At 37.7% G+C, this 21,044-nt stretch overlaps 1 annotated feature.

The window, feature by feature from the left end:
* Nucleotides 501-1,045: an enhancer, noted in NCBI's record as "H3K27ac-H3K4me1 hESC enhancer chr8:59282662-59283206 (GRCh37/hg19 assembly coordinates)". NCBI's record gives its function as "activates a minimal SCP1, AML or CMV promoter by ChIP-STARR-seq in primed H9 embryonic stem cells {active_cell/tissue: H9 hESC(primed)}" and the evidence as "EXISTENCE:reporter gene assay evidence [ECO:0000049][PMID:30033119]".

Below are 21,044 nucleotides of genomic sequence, written 5' to 3'. Positions count from 1 at the left end.
TGGTGAGGAACTGCGTTCCTTTGGAGGAGGGGAGGCGCTCTGCTTTTTAGAGTTTCCAGTTTTTCTGCTCTGTTTTTTCCCCATCTTTGTGGTTTTATCTACTTTTGGTCTTTGATGATGGTGACGTACAGATGGGTGTTTGGTGTGGATGTCCTTTCTGTTTGTTAGTTTTCCTTCTAACAGACAGGACCTCAGCTCCAGGTCTGTTGGAGTACCCGGCCGTGTGAGGTGTCAGTCTGCCCCTGCTGGGGGATGCCTCCCAGTTAGGCTGCAAGGTGGTCAGGGGTCAGGGACCCACTTGAGGAGGCAGTCTGCACGTTCTCAGATCTCCAGCTGCATGCTGGGAGAACCACTGCTCTCTTCAAAGCTGTCAGACAGGGACATTTAAGTCTGCAGAGGTTACTGCTGTCTTTTTGTTTGTCTGTGCCCTGCCCCCAGAGGTGGAGCCTACAGAGGCAGGCAGGCCTCCTTGAGCTGTGGTGGGCTCCACCCAGTTCCAGCTTCCCGGATGCTTTGTTTACCTAAGCAAGCCTGGGCAATGGCGGGCACCCCTCCCCCAGCCTCGCTGCCACCTTGCAGTTTGATCTCAGACTGCTGTGCTAGCAATCCGCGAGACTCCGTGGGCATAGGGGCCTCCAAGCCACGTGCAGGATATAATCTACTGGTGCGCCATTTTTTAAGCCCGTCGGAAAAGCACAGTATTCGGGTGGGAGTGACCCGATTTTCCAGGTGCCGTCTGTCACCCCTTTCTTTGACTAGGAAAGGTAACTCCCTGACCCCTTGCGCTTCCCGAGTGAGGCAATGCCTCGCCCTGCTTCAGCTCGTGCATGGTGGGCGCACCCACTGACCTGCACCCACTGTCTGGCACTCCCTAGTGAGATGAACCCGGTACCTCAGATGGAAATGCAGAAATCACCCGTCTTCTGCGTTGCTCACGCTGGGAGCTGTAGACCAGAGCTGTTCCTATTCGGCCATCTTGGCTCCTCCCTCTGATCCACACCTTTTTTTTTTTTTTTTTAAGACAGAGTCTCACTCTCTTGCCCAGGCTGGAGTGCAGTGGCATGACCTCGGCTCACTGCAACTTCCGCCTCCCAGGTTCAAGCAATTCTACTGCCTCAGCCTCCCAAATAGCTGGGAATACAGACTCATGCTGCCATGCCCAGCTAATTTTTTGTATTTTAGTAGAGACAGGGTTTCACTGTGTTGCCCAGGCTGGTCTCCAACTCCTGAGCTCAGGCAATCTGCCCACCTCAGCCTCCCAAAGTATTGGGATTGCAGGCGTGAGCCACTGTGCCAAGCCTCTGTTTTTTTTTTTTTAAAGGCTAATGATTTGTAGTTAAGTCAGGTCCTAAATGACCTATAAGTCAGGTCATGTTAGTTTGGAACAATGTGGTAGACTGAACATTAGAAACATGTATTGCATCATGTATGACAACAGGAAAAAGGAATAGAGAAAATAAATTTTATTAGAAAACTAATAAAAATTTCTAATCTCAAGGAGTTTAACATTGCAATAACAATTCATTGATGAGTGGACTAAAGGCAAATAGAAGAGGTCAATAAGCCAAAATCAATTTTTGGTGTTCCAGCTTGTCATGAATTTGAAAGTTTGGCTTCTAGGTAAATGTTTGGAAATCCATTTTTTGTTGTTGTCTATCATGCAGTTTGGGGGTCCCCAAACTTCTTAAGTATGAGGACACCCTGACTGCTAGTAATGGTACTATTATCTCTTCAGTCTACAGATTCTACTTGGAATAGATGCTACTAGATGTGAGGATTTTGTGTGCTAGTTCTTTGGCTCACCCACATAGACCATGGACCTTCAGGTAGAGATCTGGTTCGGGAATGGGAAAAGCAGAGGCCTGAGGCTCATTTGTGTGTCCTCCTATCCTACTTTTCAACTCTAAATTCTAATTGGATTTCCCCTAAGAATCCCAAGAATTTGTGGGAAAAAAATATGTTTCAGGGGGAGATAGTTTAAAGTCTAAGAACTACACAGATACTGTGTGGGATGGAAATAAAACAAGAGTTCATTACTGTGTATAAAACATTGCAAGGAAGATATCACCTGCTCTTGCTTGTTTTGGGAGTCATCAATTATTAATCTTTTGTAAGACTTGACATAAGTATGACAAGAGAGTAAGGGATTTCCATTTTAGCAGGTCATAAGTGTAGTTCATAGCGATTTATCCCACTAGCTCTCTGTTTGTCTCTCTCCCCGTTGAGTTTCTCAGCAGAACCACTTCTGGGAAATTAGTGCTAATCCCTTCTCCCTACCATTCCTCCTTCTGTAAGCATTTATTGAGCACCTACTGGCTTCAGAAGTTCCGGCTAGGTGCTCAGGATAAATGGAAGGAAAAAGCAGTGTAAAATGTGTAAATGATCTAAATCTGAAAAATTCTAAAACTACAAGAAGATAGAATAGTCTATTCCTTCACCTCTTGGATTTGAAAAATGCTTAAACAACCATAGAGAAACAAACAAACAAACAAAAACTATGTCAAAACCAAAAACTTCTGTAGAGCAGTGAAGTGATAATTAATAATAGTAATTACTAGGCACTGGTTTACGTGTATCAATTCATTTATTTCCAGCAAGCCAACGTGGTGGTTACCATTATTCCAGTTTTACAGATGAAAAATATGAGATTCATAGATGTTAAGTGACTTTCTTAAGGTCACACGGTTAGTACATGGCAAACACCACGAGCAAGGTTAAAAGACAAGCAACAGATTGACAAAAGATATTTGTAAATTGCATACCAAACAAAGACTAATTTTCCAGACTATGTAAAGAACTCCTACAATTCAAGAAAAAAGACTGGCTGATTTAAAAATGAACAACACAATTTGAAGGCAAGGAAATTCAAAAGTTTACTATGCAAATGAAAACATGCTTAACTTCACTGGCTAGTGGGAAAATGCAAATGAACCACTGATGAGATGCCACTTTTTATCTCTCTCATATATAGGCATAAATTAATATGTTTGGCAATATCAAGCCTTTTAAAGGCCTAAAGATGTTTTAGAGGCACTGCTTTCATATACTGTTGAGTGGGAGTAGACGGTGGTACAGCAAATTTGGAGGCATCCAGAAAAATGAAAATGATCACACTCTAATAGTAGCAATTCTATTTCAGGCAATATACACCCAGTGTGTGTGGGTAAATGTGTAACAGCTGAATTTTCCAGTGCAGGGTTAGGGGGTACTTAATTTGTAGGTTTGCCCTTTTCTACTGTGGAAATGCTCCCATCGTGGTCATATTCTAGTTATATAATGTCACTGAAGCCAGATAAGAAAGAGATCTGCACCATTGGTTCTCAAGAGTCATCAGAGTCAGGTCCAGCACAGTACTGTGAGATTTTCTGGCACAAAAACACAAGACACGTGAACAAGCATATTCACTTAAGATTGTTTACGACAACAAAAATTTGCAAACAAACTAAATAGTCATCAATAAAGGAAGGAATAAATTATATGATAAGTTGTAATAAGATCATACCACAGTTAAAAGAGATAAACTGTTGTGTCATATATCACTATGTAACTGTTCCTGCATGTATTGGATAGTTCTTAAAACATAATATGGAGTCATACAAGCAAATTACACAAAAATATTGTTATATTCTATAATATAAAAACACATGCAGTATATTAACAGATATTTTAAATTATATCTATGAAATGGAAAACTATATACCAAAATGGATAAATGGAATAAATGGCTATACACCTATGTTATACTTACTTTTGGAGTGTGGGAGGAGATAATGGCCTGGGGGTAAGATAGTATGATGATTAAAGTCTATATTAGTAAGATCTGTAATACTGCTTCTTTTCTCACAGTGTCTACTCTCAGCCTTTTTGAATTTTGTGAGGAATAGCTATAGAAAGTTCCTACTTATTTCATTTAATAATTCATCAATTGAAGAGGCATTTTTTTTAAACAGAGATTGTGATTATACCTACTTATGGGGTACAATTTGATGTTTTGATAATGCATATATTATATGATAATCAAATCAGGGTAGTTAGTATATCTATCACCTCATGTATTTATCATTTCTTTGTGATGAGAACATTCAAAAACCTCTCTTCTAGCTATTTTGCAATGCCTGAATGTTAAACCATAGTCACCCTACTGTGCAATAGAACAACAGAACTTATTCCTCCTAACCTGATTGTAACTTTGTAACTGTTGATGAACCTCCTCCTTTCCTCCTCTCTAAAATCTCTGGTAATCACTGTTCTATTATCTACTTTTATGAGATTAACTATTTTTTAGATTCCACATATGGGTGAGATCATGTGGTATTTTTCTGCATCTGATTTCTTTCACTTCACGTAACGTCCTATAGGCTCACCCGTGTTGCAAATGACAAGATTTTATTCATTTTTATGGCACAATAGTATTTGATTGTGTATATATATCAAATTTTCTTTCTTCATTCATCCATCATTAGACACTTAGTTTGATTCCATATCTTGGCTATTTTGAATAATGCTGCAAGAAACATGGGAGTGTGGATATTTCTTTGACATATTGATTTCATTTCTGTTAGATATATCCCCGGTAGTGGGATTGCTGAATCAGATAGTAGTTTTATTTTTAACTATTTGAGAAACCTCCATGTTTTTAATAATGGCTGTATTATTTTACATTCCCACCAACAATGTGTAAGTGTTCCCTTTTATTCATATCCTCATCAACATTTGTTTTCTTTGTCTTTTTTTTTTTTTTTTTTTTTTTGAGACTGGGTCTTACTCTGTCACCCAGGCTGGAGTGTGTGACATGATCATGGCTCACTGCAATTAAACTCCTGGGCTTAAGCAATCCTCTTGCCTCAGCCTCAAAAGCAGCTTGGACTGCAGGTGCACCCCACCACACCTGGCTAGTTTTTAAAAATGTTTTGTAGAGATGGGGGTCTTGCCATGCTGCCTAGGCTGGTCTCAAACTTCTGACCTCAAGTGATCCTCATGCCTCAGTCTCCAAAAGTGATGGGGTTACAGGCATGAGTCACCATGCCTAGTCTCTTTTGTCTTTTTGGTTAATAACCACTCTAACTAGAGTGAAGAAGCATCTCACTGTAGTTTTGATTTGTATTTCCCTGATGATCAGTGATATTGATCATTTTGTTGCATACCTGTTGGCCATTTGTATGCTTTCTTTTGAGAAACATCTGTTGAAGTCTTTTGCCCATTTTTAAATTTGGAGTTTTTGCTATTGAATTTAGTTTCTTATATAGTCTGAATATTATTAGTCCCTGTCAGATGTATAGTTTGCAAATATTTTCTCCCATTCTGTAGATTGTTTTTTCACTCTCTTGTTTCTGTTGCTGTGCAAAAGCTTTTTAGTTTGATATAAGCCTATTTGTCTATTTTTGCTTTGGTTGCCTGTGCTTTGAGGTCTTATTTAAAAAATTCTTGCTGAGTCCAATGTCATGAAGCCTTTTCCCTACATTTACTTCTAGTAGTTTTGTAATTTCAGGCTTTACGTTTCAGTTTTTAATCTATTTTGAATTGGTTTTTGTATGTGGTGAGAGGTCACCACTGTCTAGTCTAATTTTTCTTCATGTGAATATTTAATTTTCCCAGACCAATTTGTTGAAGAGACTGTCTTTTCCCTACTGCGTGTTCTTAGCACCTTTGTCGAAAGTCAGTTAACATTGTGTGTGTGAATTTATTTCTAGTCTCTTTATTCTGTTCCATCACTCCATGTCTGTTTTTATGCCTATACCATGCTGTTTTGTTACTATAGCCTTGTAATATATTTTGAAGTCTAGTAGTGTGATACTTCTAGCTTTGTTCCCCCTCCCTACAACCCCTCAGGACTTATTTGGCTATTTGGGGTCTTTTATGGTTCTGTATAAATTTTGGAATTTTTTTTTTCTAATTTTGGTGAAGAATATCATTGGTATTTTGATGGGGATTGCATTAAATCTGTGGATCACTTTGGGTAGTATGGACATTTTAACATTATTAATTCTTCCAATCCATGAAAACAGGATATCTTTTAATTTATTTGTATCCTCTTCAATTTCTTTCATCAACGTTTTATAGTTCTCAGTGTAGAGACTTTTTTCACCTCCTAGGTTAAGGTTATTCCTAATTATCTTTTTTGCAGTACATGATATTTTTTCTTGACTTGTTTTCAAATAGTTTATTATTAGCATGTAGAAACACTATTGACTGTTCATATTGATTGTGTATCCTGCAACTTTACTAAATTTGTTTCTTGGTTCTAACAGTACTTTGGTAGTGTCTTTGGGTTTTCTACATATAAGATCATTTCATCTGTTAACAGAAAATTTGACTTTCTCCTTTCCTATTTGGATGCCTTTTTTTTTCTCTTAATTACTCTGGCTAGAATTTCAAGTACTGTGTTGAATAGAAGTGGTGAAAGTGCACCTTAGACAAAAACTAACTTAAGATCAATTAAAGACTTAAATGTAGAACCCCAAGCTATAAAAAACCTAGAAGAAAATTCAGGCAATATCATTTGAGACATAGGCATGGGCAAAGATTTTGCCTTTGCAACAAAGGCAAAAATTGAAAAATGGGATCTAATTAAACTAAAGAGCTTCTGCACAACAAAAGAAACTATCATCAGAATGAACAGGCAAGCTACAGAGTAGGAGAAAATCTTTGCAATCTATCCATCCAACAAAGGTGTAATATCCAGAATCTACAAGGAACCCAAACAAATCTGCAAAGTGAACAAAATAACCCCATTAAATAACCCCATTAAAAAGTGAGCAAAAGACATGAACAGACACTTCTCAAAAGAAGACACTCATGCAGCCAACAAACATATGGAAAATAGCTCAACATTACTGATTATTAGAGAAATGCAAATCAAAACCACAATGAAATACCATCTCACGCCAGTGAGAATGGCCATTACTAAAAAGTCAAGAAACAGATGCTGGCGAGGTTGTGAAGAAATAGGAATATTTTTACACTGTTGGTGGGAATGTAAATTAGTTCAACCATTGTGGAAGATGGTGTGGAAATTCCTCAAAGATCTAGAACCAGAAATACTATTTGACCCAGCAATCTTATTACTGGGTATATATCCAAATGAATATAAATCATTCTATTACAAAGATACATGCAAGCATATGTTCATTGCAGCACTATTTGCAATAGCAAGGACATGGAATCAACTCCAATGTCCATCAATGACAGACTGGATAAAGAAAATGTGGTACATATACACCATGGAATACTATACAGCCATAAAAAGGCATGAGATCATGTCCTTTGCAGGGACATGGATGGAGCTGGAGGCCATTATCCTCAGCAAACTAATGCAAGAACAGAAACCAAACACTGCATGTTCTCACTTGTAAGTGGGAGCTGAACAATGAGAACACATGGACAGAGGGAGGGGAACAGCACACACTGGGGCCTGTGGAGTGAGGGGAGGGAGAGTATAAGGAAAAATAGATAATGCATGCTAGGCTTAATACCTAGGTGATTGGTTGATAGGTGCAGCAAACCACTACGGCACATGTCACCTATATTACAAACCTGCACATCCTGCCCATGTATCCCAGAACTAAAAATAAAAATAAAAAAAAGTAGTGAAAGTGAACATCCTTGTCTTGTTCCTGATCTTTGAGGAAAAAGCTTTCAGCTTTACCCATTCAGAATGATGTTGGTTCTGGATGGGTTATATATAGCCTTTATGTGTAAAGGCACGTAGCTTCTATATCTAATTTGTTGAGAGTTTTTATCATAAAGAGATGTTGACATCTTTCAAATGTTTTTCTGCATTTATTGAAATGATCATATAGTTTTTGTCTTTCTTTTTGTTAGTGTGGTGTATAACATTTATTGATTTTGTACGTTGAGCCATCCTTGCATCCCTGGGATGAATCTGCTTAATCATAGCGAATGATCTTTTTAATGTGCTGTTCAATTTGGTTTGCTAGTATTTTGTTGAGGATTTCTGAATCTATGTTCATTGGGGATATTGGCCTGTATTTTTTTTCTCTTATGTCCTTGTCCAGTTTTAGCATCAGGGTAATTCTGGCCTTGTAAAATAAGTTCGGACATATACCCTCCTCTACAATTTTCTGGAATAGTTTGAGAAGAATTGGTATTTATTTTTCTTTAAATGTTTGGTAGAATTTAGTAGTGAAATCCCTAGGTCTTGGGGTTTTCTTTGATGGAAGACATTATTATTGATTCAATTTTCTTACCCCTTATTGGTTTGTTCAGGTTTTCTATTTTTTAATAATTTAATCTTTGTAGGTTATCTGTGTCCAAAAATTGACCCCTTTTTTTCTGGATTGTCAAATTTCTTGGCATGTAGTTTCTCCTAATTGTTTTTTATGACCTCTTGTTTTTCTGTGGTATCAGTTGTAATGTCTACTTTTCCATCTATGATTTTATTTATTTGAGTCTTCTCTTTTTTCTTAGTTTGTCTACCTGAAGGCTTATTGATTTTGTTTATGTTTTTTAAAAACACACTCTTTTGTTTATTCTTTGAGTTGCTTTTCTAGTCTTTATTTTATTTATTTCTGCTGTGAGCTTTATTATTTCCTTTCTTCTACCAATTTTGGATTTCGTTTCTTCTTGTTTTTCTAGTTACTTGAGGTGCATCATTAGATTGTTTATTAGAAATCTTTCTTCTAGGCTGGATGTGGTGACACATGCCTGTAATCCCAGCACTTTGTGAGGGTGAGGTGGGTGGATCACCTGAGGTCAGGAATTAAAGACCAGCCTGGCCAATATGGTGAAACTTTGTCTCTACTAAAAATATAAAAATGAGCCAGGCAAGGTGGAGATTACGTGCCTGTAATGCCAGCTACTTGGGAGGCTGAGGGAGGAGAATTACTTGAACCCAGGAGGCGGAGGTTGCAGTGAGCCGAGATGGCACCACTGTGCTCCATTCGTCCTGGGTGATAGGGTGAGACTCTGTCTCAAAACAAACAAACAAACAAACAAACAAACAAAAATCTTCTTTTCTTGATTATAGGCATTTATTGCTATAAACTTTCCTGCTACAACTGCTTTTCCTATGTTTCATGGGTTTTAATATGATGTGTTTCCATTCTCATTTGTCTCAAGCATTTAAAAACTTCTCTTTTAATTTCTGTATTATTTACTCATTGGTTATTTAGGAGCATGCTGTTTAATTTTCATGTATTTGTAGTTTCTGAAATTTTTCTTCTTGTTGATTTCTAGTTTTATACCATTGTGGGCAGAAAAGATATCTGATATGATCTCAGCTTTCTTAAATTTGTTAACACTTATTTTGGGGCCTAATATATGATCTGTTCTGGGGAATGTCCCATGTGCAGTTGAGGAGAATGTGTGTTCTGTAGCTCTTGGATAGAATGTTCTGTATTGTCTTTTAGGTTCATTTGCTGTATAGTGTAATTTGAGTCTAGTGTTTCTTTGCAGATTTTCTGTCTAGATGATGTGTGTATCATTGAAAGTGGGGTATTGAAATTCTCTAATATTATTGTATTGCAGTCTGCCTCTCCCTATAGATCTAAAAATATTTGCTTTATATATTGGGTGCTCTGTTATTGGAGTACATATCCATTTTTGTTATATCTTCTTGTTTGCTTAATCTCTTTATTATTATATAGTAACCTTTTTGTCTTTTTTGTACAGTTTTTGTCTTAAAGTCTATTTTTTCTGATGTATATTAATATGGCTACTGCTGCTCACTTTTGGTTTCTGTTTGCATAAAGTGTCTTTTTTTATCTTGTCACTTTCAGTCTATGTTGTCTTTAATGATAAAGTGATTCTCTTGTAGGCAGCATTAGTTATATCTTGTTTTTGACATCTGTTAATTGGAGACTTTAATCCATTACATCCACAGTTATTATTTATAGGTAAGGACTTATGTCTGCCATTTTACTATTGTTTTCTGAATGTTTTGTGGATCCTTTGTCCCTTTCTTACTCTCTTGCTGTTTAACCCTGTGGTTTAGTGGTTTTCTGTGGTGTTAAGCTTTGATTCCTTTCTTTTTCTTGTTTGTATATCTGTTATAATCTCCTTCTTTGTGGTTACTGTAGGACTAACACATAGAGTCTTTAGTTATAATAGACCTTTTTAAGCTGATAACAGCTTAACTTTGTTGATTAAAAATACTCTAGACTTCTCTCTTCCCCACAATTTGTATGTTTGTTGACTTAATTGATATCTTTATCTATTGTGTGTTCCTTAGCCTGTAAGTGAAGCTGCTATTGTTTTATACTTTTAACCTTTATGTTAGAGAACTGAAAGATTTACATAGCACCATTACAGCACTGGGCTATTCTGAGTTTGATTATTAATTTACCTCTACTGGTGAGTTTTATACTTTCATGTGTTTTCATGATAGTAATTACTGTCTTTTTGCTTACAGTTGTAGCATTCCCTTAATCACTTCTGGCAAGGCCAGTCTAGTGGTGATAAATCCCTTCAGCTTTTGCTCGTCTGGAAAGGTCTTTATTTCTCCTTTATTTTTGAAGTACAGTTTTGCTGGATATAGTATTCTTGGCAGACAGGTTCCCTGCCCTCCCCCGCCACCCCACCCCAACCCTGTCCGTTTGACTACATTATCACATTCTCTCCTGGCCTGCAAAGTTTCTGTTAAGAAATCTCTTAATAGTCTAATGGAGATTCCCTTATATATGACTTGAAGTTTTTCTCTTTTAACTATTGGAATTCTCTCTTTGTCTTTGACAGTTTGATTATAATGTGCTTCAGAGAAGAACTTTTTGGGTTGAATCTAATTGGAAAATTTTGAGCTTTCTGGATCTGGATTTCCATATTTCTCTCAAGATTTGGGAAGTTTTCATCTATTATTTTGTTAAATAGGTTTTCTAAGCTTTCCTCTCTCTCTTCTCCTGCTGACATTCCTATAACACAGATTTTTGTTCACTTAATAGCATCACATAAATTCCATAGGCTTTCTTTATTTTTTTATTCTTATTTCTTAATTTCTTCTCTGACTAAGTTATTTCAAAAGATCTGTCTTCAAGTTCAGAAATTATTTCTTCTACTTTATGGAGTTTCTTGGTGAAGCTCTCAATTGTATTTTGTATTTTGCACTTTAATTATTGAATTCCTCAACTCCAAAATTTGTTTGATCATTTTTTACAATATTTACCTCTGTTGAACTTTTCATTCAGATCCTGAATTGTTTTCCTGATTTCGTTGCATAGTTTTTCTGAATTTTCTTGTATCTCACTGAGTTTCTTTAAGATTATTTTAGATTCACTTTTTGGCATTTTGTATTTCATTTTCTTTGAGGTCTATTACTGGAGAATTATTGTGTTCTTTTGGAGGTGGTCATATATCCTTTCTTTTTCATGTTTTTTATGTTCCTATGTTGATATCTTGACATCTGGTGGAAAAGCTACCTCCTCAGATTTTATGGAGTAGCTCTCATACCTTTTCTTGTAGAGGAATTCTAGAGTGTCAGTTGGGAACTGTCCATTGGCTTCAGTCCTGGATTGACTCAATAATGTGGCCTCTGTTCAGTGTTTTTAGCTGTAATTTTCATCAGTTACTCTGCAATTGCATCAGTGGCCTAGATTTCAGGAGTTTGTGATGGTGGTGATATGGTTTTGCTAGGGGCAGAGGCGCTGGGCTGGCTGTTAGGCTGGGCACATGTGGGGATAGTGGGCTGGCCACCTGTGTGATGGGGTCTCTGTAGGGCATATGTAGGCATGGTGGGCCAGAGAGCTGTGCAGCTGGCTCTCCAGAAGGAAGGGCCACACCTATAGTGGCTATCAGGTTTGGCACAGGCATGTGTGAGCATGACTGACTGGCCAGCTGTGTGTCAGCTTCCCCACTGCGCAGGTTCACTGGTTCTCTGGGGGGTGGGTGCCACACGGGTTTCAGTGCTGCTGTCTGGACCATTCCACTGGGCCTAGGCTTCAGGCAGTCAAGGTCACAGTGCTGCAGCCACGTGAGTGTGGTGGAATGATGGTGGGGCCTTAGGAACAGAGAGAGGCAGTTGCCCACTGATCCCCAGGGCAAGATGCACTCTAGCAGTAGGCCCAGCTTCAAGATGGTAGTGTGCTGTAGGAGCTTAGGCCACAGGGGTGGGGTAGTGTATAATATGGGCTTCTACTCTGGAGCAATACTGTCTCATTATCTCCAGGCAACTCTACAGACACTCTACAGACTGGATTTGGGGCCTGTGACCGTCTCTCCCTTAGCAAGGGGTGCAGGTGTCTGTGGTGGTAATGGAGACCAATGGGATGTCCATCTTAACCTTTTCCCATAAAAGGAAGTCTCTCATGGCTCTTAGCAGATCTTGGTGGGGGAGATATTGTGGCAGAGACGGGATGCCTTGCTACCTTCTCTGTGGTGCTATCCTGGGTTTCTGTGCTCCGCAGGGACTTTGCCATGCCCCTGGTGCTCTTCAGCCTACTTTCTCTGTCACTTCAGCTAAAACATAGTTGTTTATGTTGTTTTGGTCCCTTTTTGTGGGAGGGATGAGCATCAGGCAGTCAATGATCTTGCTGATGTCACTCCAATGCATCTTTAATAGCCACTTTTCTGAAATCAAAGGAACATTATCACATTAAATACACGTGTCTATTGTAACATATATCTCAACTTCAGAAACATCAAGATATTTATTCAGGTGTGCTCACCATGAAAAAATATGATAGTTCAGCTGCCTGGGATGGTTTACCAGCTGCAAGTCATAAAATTCCATTACTTTTGATAACAGACATATGATTTGCAAAATAATACAATAGTTCTTAATGTATCTGGAGGTATATTAACGATTCGATATTTTAAATAAATATCAATATTTATTAAATACATTGTATGTACACAGGACTTGGGGATTACTTGAAGACATATAACAGAGTGCTCAAGAAATTGCCAATCTCAACTACCTGGAATGTAAGTGGCAATGCAGAAGGAAGTAAAAATGCCTCTGGGTGGCAAATTCCTCTTGATTTGTAATAGGATGCATGCCTTTCCTAACAAAATTGTATATAAAGTAAGGGAGAAGATGGGAAACAGCAGCAAGGAGAAATGATGGCCTGTGATAGCTAATGAGTGATGACAGCAGCCAGAGACACAGAGTACTGTAAAAACACCACAGCCAGGGCCATTTAGTGAAATGGTCATTCTCTGTATCTCAATAGCTCTTGAAGCTCTCCAAAGTACAAAAATTTTTTCATTCTTTCACTTTCTTATTAACGTGTCTTGTGTAGCACAGCACAATAACCAATAATTTTATTGTTGCCCTAGAATCATCAAGAAAATGAAAAAAATATACTTTTTCAGTATGCTCAGAGATGCAAGATTTAGAAATATTTCTGTAAAGCCATGGCTTAATGTGAAACACTCTCCGAATGCCAAGAATGCCAGGAAAATGAGGCATCATTTTATTGAAAAATAGAGTTTATATTTATATGGGCTCTATGTTCTTTTCAGTCCTTCAGTGAAATAGGTATTTTATAAATTAGTGATGTAATGTTTTTCTACCAGATTTTTCTTTTTTCAGAGTTTTCATATTAGTCTTGTAATATTCTTTTCAGTTAGCAGAGGCTGGAATTGTTATCTGCTACCAAATGATGAAACACCTGGAGCCACGGGCATCTTGAAATGACTTGCACATGTCTACACACCATGTCATTAGTAGAGCCAGGAATGAAGTCCAGGTTTTGCGAAGACTAGCCTAGCCACCTCTCATTCTTTCTATGACCTTGATATGGTTTGGCTGTGTTCCCATCCAAAATCTCAACTTGAATTAGAATCTGCATAATTCCTATGTGTCAAGGGCAGGACCAGGTGGAGGTAATCCGATCATGAGGGCAGTTTCTCTCATGCTGTTCTCATGATAGTGAGTGAGTTCTTAGGAGATCTGATGGTTTTATAAGGGTCTTGCATTTCCCCAGCTTGCACTCACTCTGTCCTGCCACCCCGTGAAGAAGGTGCCAGCTTCTCCTTTTCTTTCCGCCATGATTGTAAGTTTCCTGAGGCCTTGCCAGCAATGTGAAACTGTGAGTCAATTAAACCTCTTTCCTTTATAAGTTACCTACTCTCTGGTAGTTCTTTATAGCCACATGAGAATGGACTAATACAGACCTTATGTGAAAACACTCTAAGACGGTGTAGACCTCTCTTAGGGTAGGAAGTAATTTGATCCATCCTGAGAGATTTTATTAACAGAGCTTCCTTTATGTCAATATTTGGGAAACTATGCTACTATCAACAACCCACAGAATGAGGATGCTGGTCCCTGAGTGGCCTTCTTATCTTTGGAACAGCTGGGAAATCATCATACGTAATCAAATACAATATTCTGAGAAGTTTTTTTTTTAAAAAATCTTCAATATTCACCTCATGGAACTTGAGGAATCCTAAAATCAACTTGAAATTTCCTTCTTGGGAAATGTGGATGGAAATTACCCTGCTTTTGAGCTAGTATTGCCAGATGAAATATAGGATGCCCAAATTTAATATTTGGGACATACATATTGAAAATTATTTGTGGTTTATGTAAAATTCTAATTTATTCTGGTATCTTATATTACTTACTAAATTTGGCAACCCTATGTCAGTGATACCTTCCCCATCCCTGCCATCAACAATACCACTAACAAATGCAATTGGCAAAATAAAAGAGGCTTGCAAGAGAAATCTCCTTTCTCCCCGATGAAAGATGGTAGGCAGAGGAAAACATCACACCTTCCTCTTCATTCCTTGATGATTAAAGAGAAAAGAATGAGAAAGAATTTTTGGACAGAGTGATCCAAAGTTATATATGATATATATAAAGTGGCATATATATTTCTATTTGTATATAGATTTACATATTTATATGTCCTTTATTTGGAATTATACTTTCAATACAAATTAGTAAAACCCTTATTTATCCTGGGGCATAATTTATTCAGCATCTATGTCCCAAATGTGTGAGGTTTTGGAAATGGAGATAAGACAGGCATAGCCCCTTCTGTCCTGGAATTTAGAGTCTCACAGAGGTAGTTATACAATTTACAAACTTTGCTATAATGTGTGGTTAATAACATGGTGGGGAAGTACAGGACATTTTTGGTTAGAAAACCATGTGGACCTGACAAAGCACATTTTCTAGGATTTATTTTGACTAGGGGTCAATGTACTTTTAAACATTCATTCTTTGTGCCTCCAGGAAGAACTCTGTAACAAGGGCAGTGGGAATTGGAGATACAAATCAAAAGTCAATACATGAGGGCCATATGTGTGTGTGTGGGGTTATCTGGGTGCCCTTCGTTTTATCTGAAACTCATCTATCAGATTACTAATAAGATTATTTTAGGCATTAAGACAAAAATGAAAGCAAATAATTTTCTTCTTTGTAATCTAGCAAAAGGAAAAAAATCTAGGAATTATAATCCAGTTAGGATCTTGAAGAAAGCAGTTTAATTAAAAAGCACACAAGTTAAGCTACAGGGCTCCAGTTACGAAGTGTGTGTGGGCACATGTCCTGTTGAGAAATGAAGAGATGCCTGCGGATGGTAGAATGCTAATATTATTTGCTCTGCTTCATAGACTTGATCTTGCCTGGGGATTGTCCTTTGTTACAACACAGTGATTTCTTAGAGCGGGGAGAGATTAAAGAAATGATATCTTGGCACTATAATTAAGTAAAACAGTTCTGTGACTAGAGTCTGAAGAGCAATTCATGGAGTCCAGCTCACATTAGCAAAAACAACTATGGGTCGCTCTGGCCAATAATTCTTTTCATTCTTTTTTCTTTAATCAACAAAACAAGAGTTTGACTGTGATTGCTGGAAGATTGAGTCAGATTATTGAGTGCACCTCCAATAGCCCTCTTCTAATTGACCTTTGTCAAAATAAAATCAGAGGTTTGCACACATGAACTACATCCAGAAATATTAAATAAAAGCTGCAATTTTGTTTTCATCTGACCTTGTTAGGGTGTAAGCACTTTAGGTCATTTCCAATTACTTTAAGAAGTTACATTATCATTTCTGTACTAGAACCTTGTAAAATGTGAAAGTATCATTATTCCAAAATGAATTTATTTCTTTATTCATTTTCCCAATGAGACCACCTCAATACCAAAGCAATACTATATATTTGTGCTAGCTTTTCCTTGCAACAGCTTATGAAGATCTAATTACCTTGGAAAAAAAGTTTTTGGTACCTGTTAACTGAAAACTGGTTAAATCCTTTTATAAACACACGCACACACACACAACACACACACATGCATATACAGTTTAATTAACATAAAATTTTATTACAAGAAAACCATTGCTTGGAATTTATTCACTTTCTACAGGACCCAGGGATAAAAAGTAAGAGCTTAGCCCTGAGTGTGCATTCATTCATTAGAGAGTTTTCCACCAAGGCAGAAACACCTTTTTGTCTGCTTTGATCACTGCTGTACTCATTATCTACAATAGTGACAAGCACATAAAAGGCACTCAATATTTGTTGAATAAATTCTTAAAAAAATAAAAGATGTATAGCCAACCCTTGAACAATGTGGGGTCTAGGGGCATTAACCCCTGTGCAGTCAAAAACTTAAGTATAATTTTTGGTTCCCCTAGAAGCTAACAACTAATAGCCTACTGTTGATCGGAAGCCTTACCAATAACATGTGAAGTTCAAATCCGTGTTGTTCAAGGATCAAGTGTATGTGGGAAAAGGAAATGAAAGGTGAGAATAATGCAAAGGGCCTTTTCTTTCCTCCCTTTTCTTCCCTTTTTTTCTCTTTTCCCTCTGTATATTCAATAAATATTGAATGGTTACTATATGCCAGTCCATGTGCTATGGTCTAGGGAAGTAGACCAACATCATCTCTGACCTTTGGCACACTAACTGGCTGGAATAACTCTGTATATTATAATTTACATGTTTTCAAGAGAAAGGTATATGGGCTGCTGGCAACAGTAAGGTTGGTGGCACATAAATCCATCCAAGGGGCTGGATAGAACTTCCACAATTTTAGCACTAATGTACACTACCAGTGACCATTGTGTGGACAAGAACCAGATAACTATGTAAGATTACCCAGGATTATTCATTCACAATCATTTGTTGTAATCAGTGAATAAAAGAATTTTTCATGATTGCAAAGATATCAAAATAACTTTATTACATAGGACTTTTTGTTTATTGTAGTAGTGTCCATTGTCTTTGACTATTAACTGTTTTATTGTTACATTCAAGTCAGCTCTCATTTTGACTTCAATCCATCTGCCAAATGTTCTCCCTAACTCCTTGAACTATAAACACCATATCCCCAGAAGGTTCTATTTTTCCCTGAATATAACTTGCTAAATCTTCTCAAGTTTTATTGTGTAGCATTTGCATACAAAAAATGTACAATGTGTGCATGTATGTTTTGAAGTATAGCAATGAAATGATATACACTCCTGTTCCCCAGCTTTGGGCCAAAACATTGCTATTACCCTACCTGTGTGTTGCCCTTTCATTCTTGCTTCTCAGCTTTTGCTTGCACTATCCAGCCCTGCCTGGAATGCCTTCCTTGACGTCTCCATGTACCAAAACCTTCCTTCAAAGCTCTGCTCAGGTCCTATCTCCTGTAGGGAGATGTTCTCCATGCAGCCTATAATTTTCCTTTTCCCTGAGTTCTTACACTACCTTCAGGGCATATTGCTCATTGGACCATTTCAATACATGCTGCTTTTGTCATGTGGTGTGATATAGTTTGGGTGTCCCCCGACCAAATCTCATGTTGAGATGTCACCCCCAGTGTTGGAGAGCGGGCTGGTGAAAGGTGTTTTGTTCATGGGGGCAGATCCCTCATGGCTTTGTTCTGTTCTCACGATAGTGAGTGAGTTCTTGTGACATCTGGTTGTTTAAAAGTGATTGGCATCTTCCCCCTTGCACTCTCGTTCCTGTTCTCACCCTGTGATGTGCCTGCTCCTGCTTCACCCTCTGTCATGAGTAAAAGCTCCCTGAGGCCTCCCCAGAAGCTAAGCAGATGCCAGCACCATGCTTATACAGCCTGCAGAACCGCGAGCCAATTAAACCTTTTTTCTTTATAAATTACCCAGCCTCAGGTATTCCTCTATAGCAATGTAAGAGCAGCCGAACACATGGTACTTTCTCTGTGCTTTGGCTGTCAAGTAGACAAGTGTGAGCTTCAGAGGTAAGAGTTCTTGTTTCTCCCACAGTGCCCTTGCACTTTGCAGAGGCTTAAGATTTGGCAACTACTCTAGATGAAAAATTCTATTGTCAAGAGAATTAATGCAATGGATAGGAAAATTAATGGGATTTCAAAACTTGTGTTTAATTCCAGATCGCTAACCCCTACTTGGTGTAACCTTGGGTAGCATAATTAATCCCTTTGAGAATTTCCTGATTACACACACACAGACAACACATGTGCATACACACGCATCTGATGGCACCATTGTGAAAATTAAATGAGGTGATGTGACTGAAAATCTGGTATGTATTGGTATGTTTGCTTATCCCACTCATATGATATTCCAAAGATAGTGGATATATTATTACTTTGCAGTATATAAAAGATATTATTGGCAACAAAAAGAAACATTTGCTCTGACATATGGAACAGCCTTGAGCTCTTGGGCAAGCATCCCTCATGCAGTCATATCTTTATAATTTTTGAATTATGGATTAGAGCTTGTATCCTCTTAATTACTTTGGGGTAATAGGGATCTCCATTTCAGTTTAATTGAACCATATAATTTAAATAATTAATAAGTTAAGCAAATTGAATAGGAGGTCTGGTTCAGGCATTCACAGTTTCTAATCAGGCAACCCAAACCAACAGGAACAGAATTCCAAGGAAAGGATTGAGACTAAACACAAACGAAACACAACGTAAAGACAGATGACTCTCACACATTACATTGATTACATGGAAGGCCATTGCTATTATGAAGTAAAATTCCTTTAAAAACTTCTCAAATAAAGGTTGCATTTACATATCTACAAGACAATATTCATGTTTTTTCAAAATTTTATTTGGATTTCAGAATCTTTAGGCTGAAGTGGACTATATAGATTCTTATCTCTTGGATTAGTTTTGAGATGAGGAAATTGAGGCCCAGAGAGTTCCTGTGGTTTGTCCAGTGTGACAGGTCCAGTTAGTAGCAGAGCCTGAACTAGATCGCTAGTAATTTGAGCCCTGGCTCTTTTCCATGAGATTCTGCTGTCTTCAGGTTTCTATATTTTTAGCATAGGGATTTTCTGAGTTTTGGAAATCATGAAATCTCTTCGTCAGATGACCACTGTGTAAAACAGCTAAAACCATACCTTCTGTTTTGGGAGGTTTGAAGAGTTGGAACCCTTAAACCTCCTTTGCTCCCCACCCTGAAATTAGTGGCAGTCATGTAACTCCAGGGCTCAGCAGAAAAAAATAATGTCTGATTTGGCCTATTCTTTCTTTTAGTACTAGTAGATATTAATGTATATATTTAAAACACATTTGCAGGTTAGGATAAATAAACATAGTTTATTTATCAATCTTACCCGGTCATATCTGGGTAAATTTGGTCACTTAGGAAAATGAAACAAGAAAATTATTGACTGTGCAAATGTGGCCACATGGGTGTTTTTTCCACACATTTATGTCAGCATATCTTATTTGTATTTTAAACACTTCTTTTCTAATGCTGGATTCTTGCTAGTTATGGGGAATTGTGACAACATTTGCAATATTTTCAAACAGCAATAGAAACTTTGAAAGAATATCTAAGGTGGCCAACAGACAGTAAAGTTTACTTCATCTCCATTATATGTTGCTACCATGCCTCCTCCATGAAATAAATTGTAGCATTTATTTTTATACAGTTGAAGATGCAGTATTCACTTACCACTTGTCAGAAGTGTTTCTTGATATGCTGCCCCTATGTGTTATCACGTCAACTCCATCTGTCCAGAACGCTGTTACTGTTTGACGCCATTGGGAGTTGGAAGATAGCAAAATAAGTCACACATTCTCAGGATGGGGCAGATTTGCATAGAGATCTAATCATTACGGTTATCTGAATCGAAGCCTTGTACGTGGGTCCCCTAAACTCGACAGAAGAAAGCAGGCAGCACTGTGAGAAGACAGTGTTTCTATGCCAGCCTGTCATTGCTTTTCCTGCTTTTATGTCTCTTTCAAATTTTTCATTTGTTAAATAATTGAATTCTTACTTGATATCAGCTTATCATGTTAACTGATGGCTATATATTTTAATGCAAAGGAGAAAACCCTCCAACCTGTTTTGGAAGACAGAGTTTGAAAATTATTCATACAGTATACTATTTCCAACTTACTTTTCAATTTTGGAAAACAGTGAAAAAAACAAAGGATAATTCATATTTGTATTAATTCATTCAAAAAATATTCACTGAGTACAAATTATGTACCAGCTACTGGACTAAACCCTGGGAGTTGAAAGATTTATTTGGTGTGAGCATATAATACAGAGGTGAAAAATATGCACAATTAAAATACTTACAATTCATCATGACTGGGGCTGTTTTGGTGCGAAAAATGCTTTGGGAATATCAGAGGAACCTTGGGAAGAGAGAGAGATTTTGAAAAAGAAGCTGGTATTTGAATTGGATTCTTAAGCATGAGAAGGACTTTGCCATAATAACCACAGCTGTGGTGAAAAATCATGTCTGGGAAAGAAAATAGATGTGCTGAGGGCCTGCAAAGTCAATAAAGGGGTTGAGGACACACTGTGGGGAACAGAAGCTGGCAGGCGAACCAGGTGTTCGGGGCAATGGAGTTAGGATCTCGGTGTACTTTTGTTGAGTGGAATAAATGCCTGTATGATAAGAATAAACTATTGGAAGTATCCCAAATATTCAATGCTGGGGGAATGAATAAGCAAAATGTATATATGGACAATGAAATCTTAGTCTTTAGGAAAGGAAGGACATTCTGACACATGCTACAACATGGATGAACCTTGAGGACATACTCAGTGAAATAAGCCAGTCACAAAAAGGTAAATACTATATGATTCCCCTTATAGGAGGTACCTAGAGTAGTAAAAATTATAGAGACATAATAATAATATAATGTAGAATGGTAGTTTCCAGGGTCTGGAGGG

Source organism: Homo sapiens, chromosome 8 (assembly GCF_000001405.40).
Source record: "Homo sapiens chromosome 8, GRCh38.p14 Primary Assembly".
NCBI classification, from domain to species: Eukaryota; Metazoa; Chordata; class Mammalia; order Primates; family Hominidae; genus Homo; species Homo sapiens.
The sequence above is the reverse complement of the archived record's forward strand: the minus strand, read 5'-3'. Positions and strand labels throughout refer to the sequence as shown.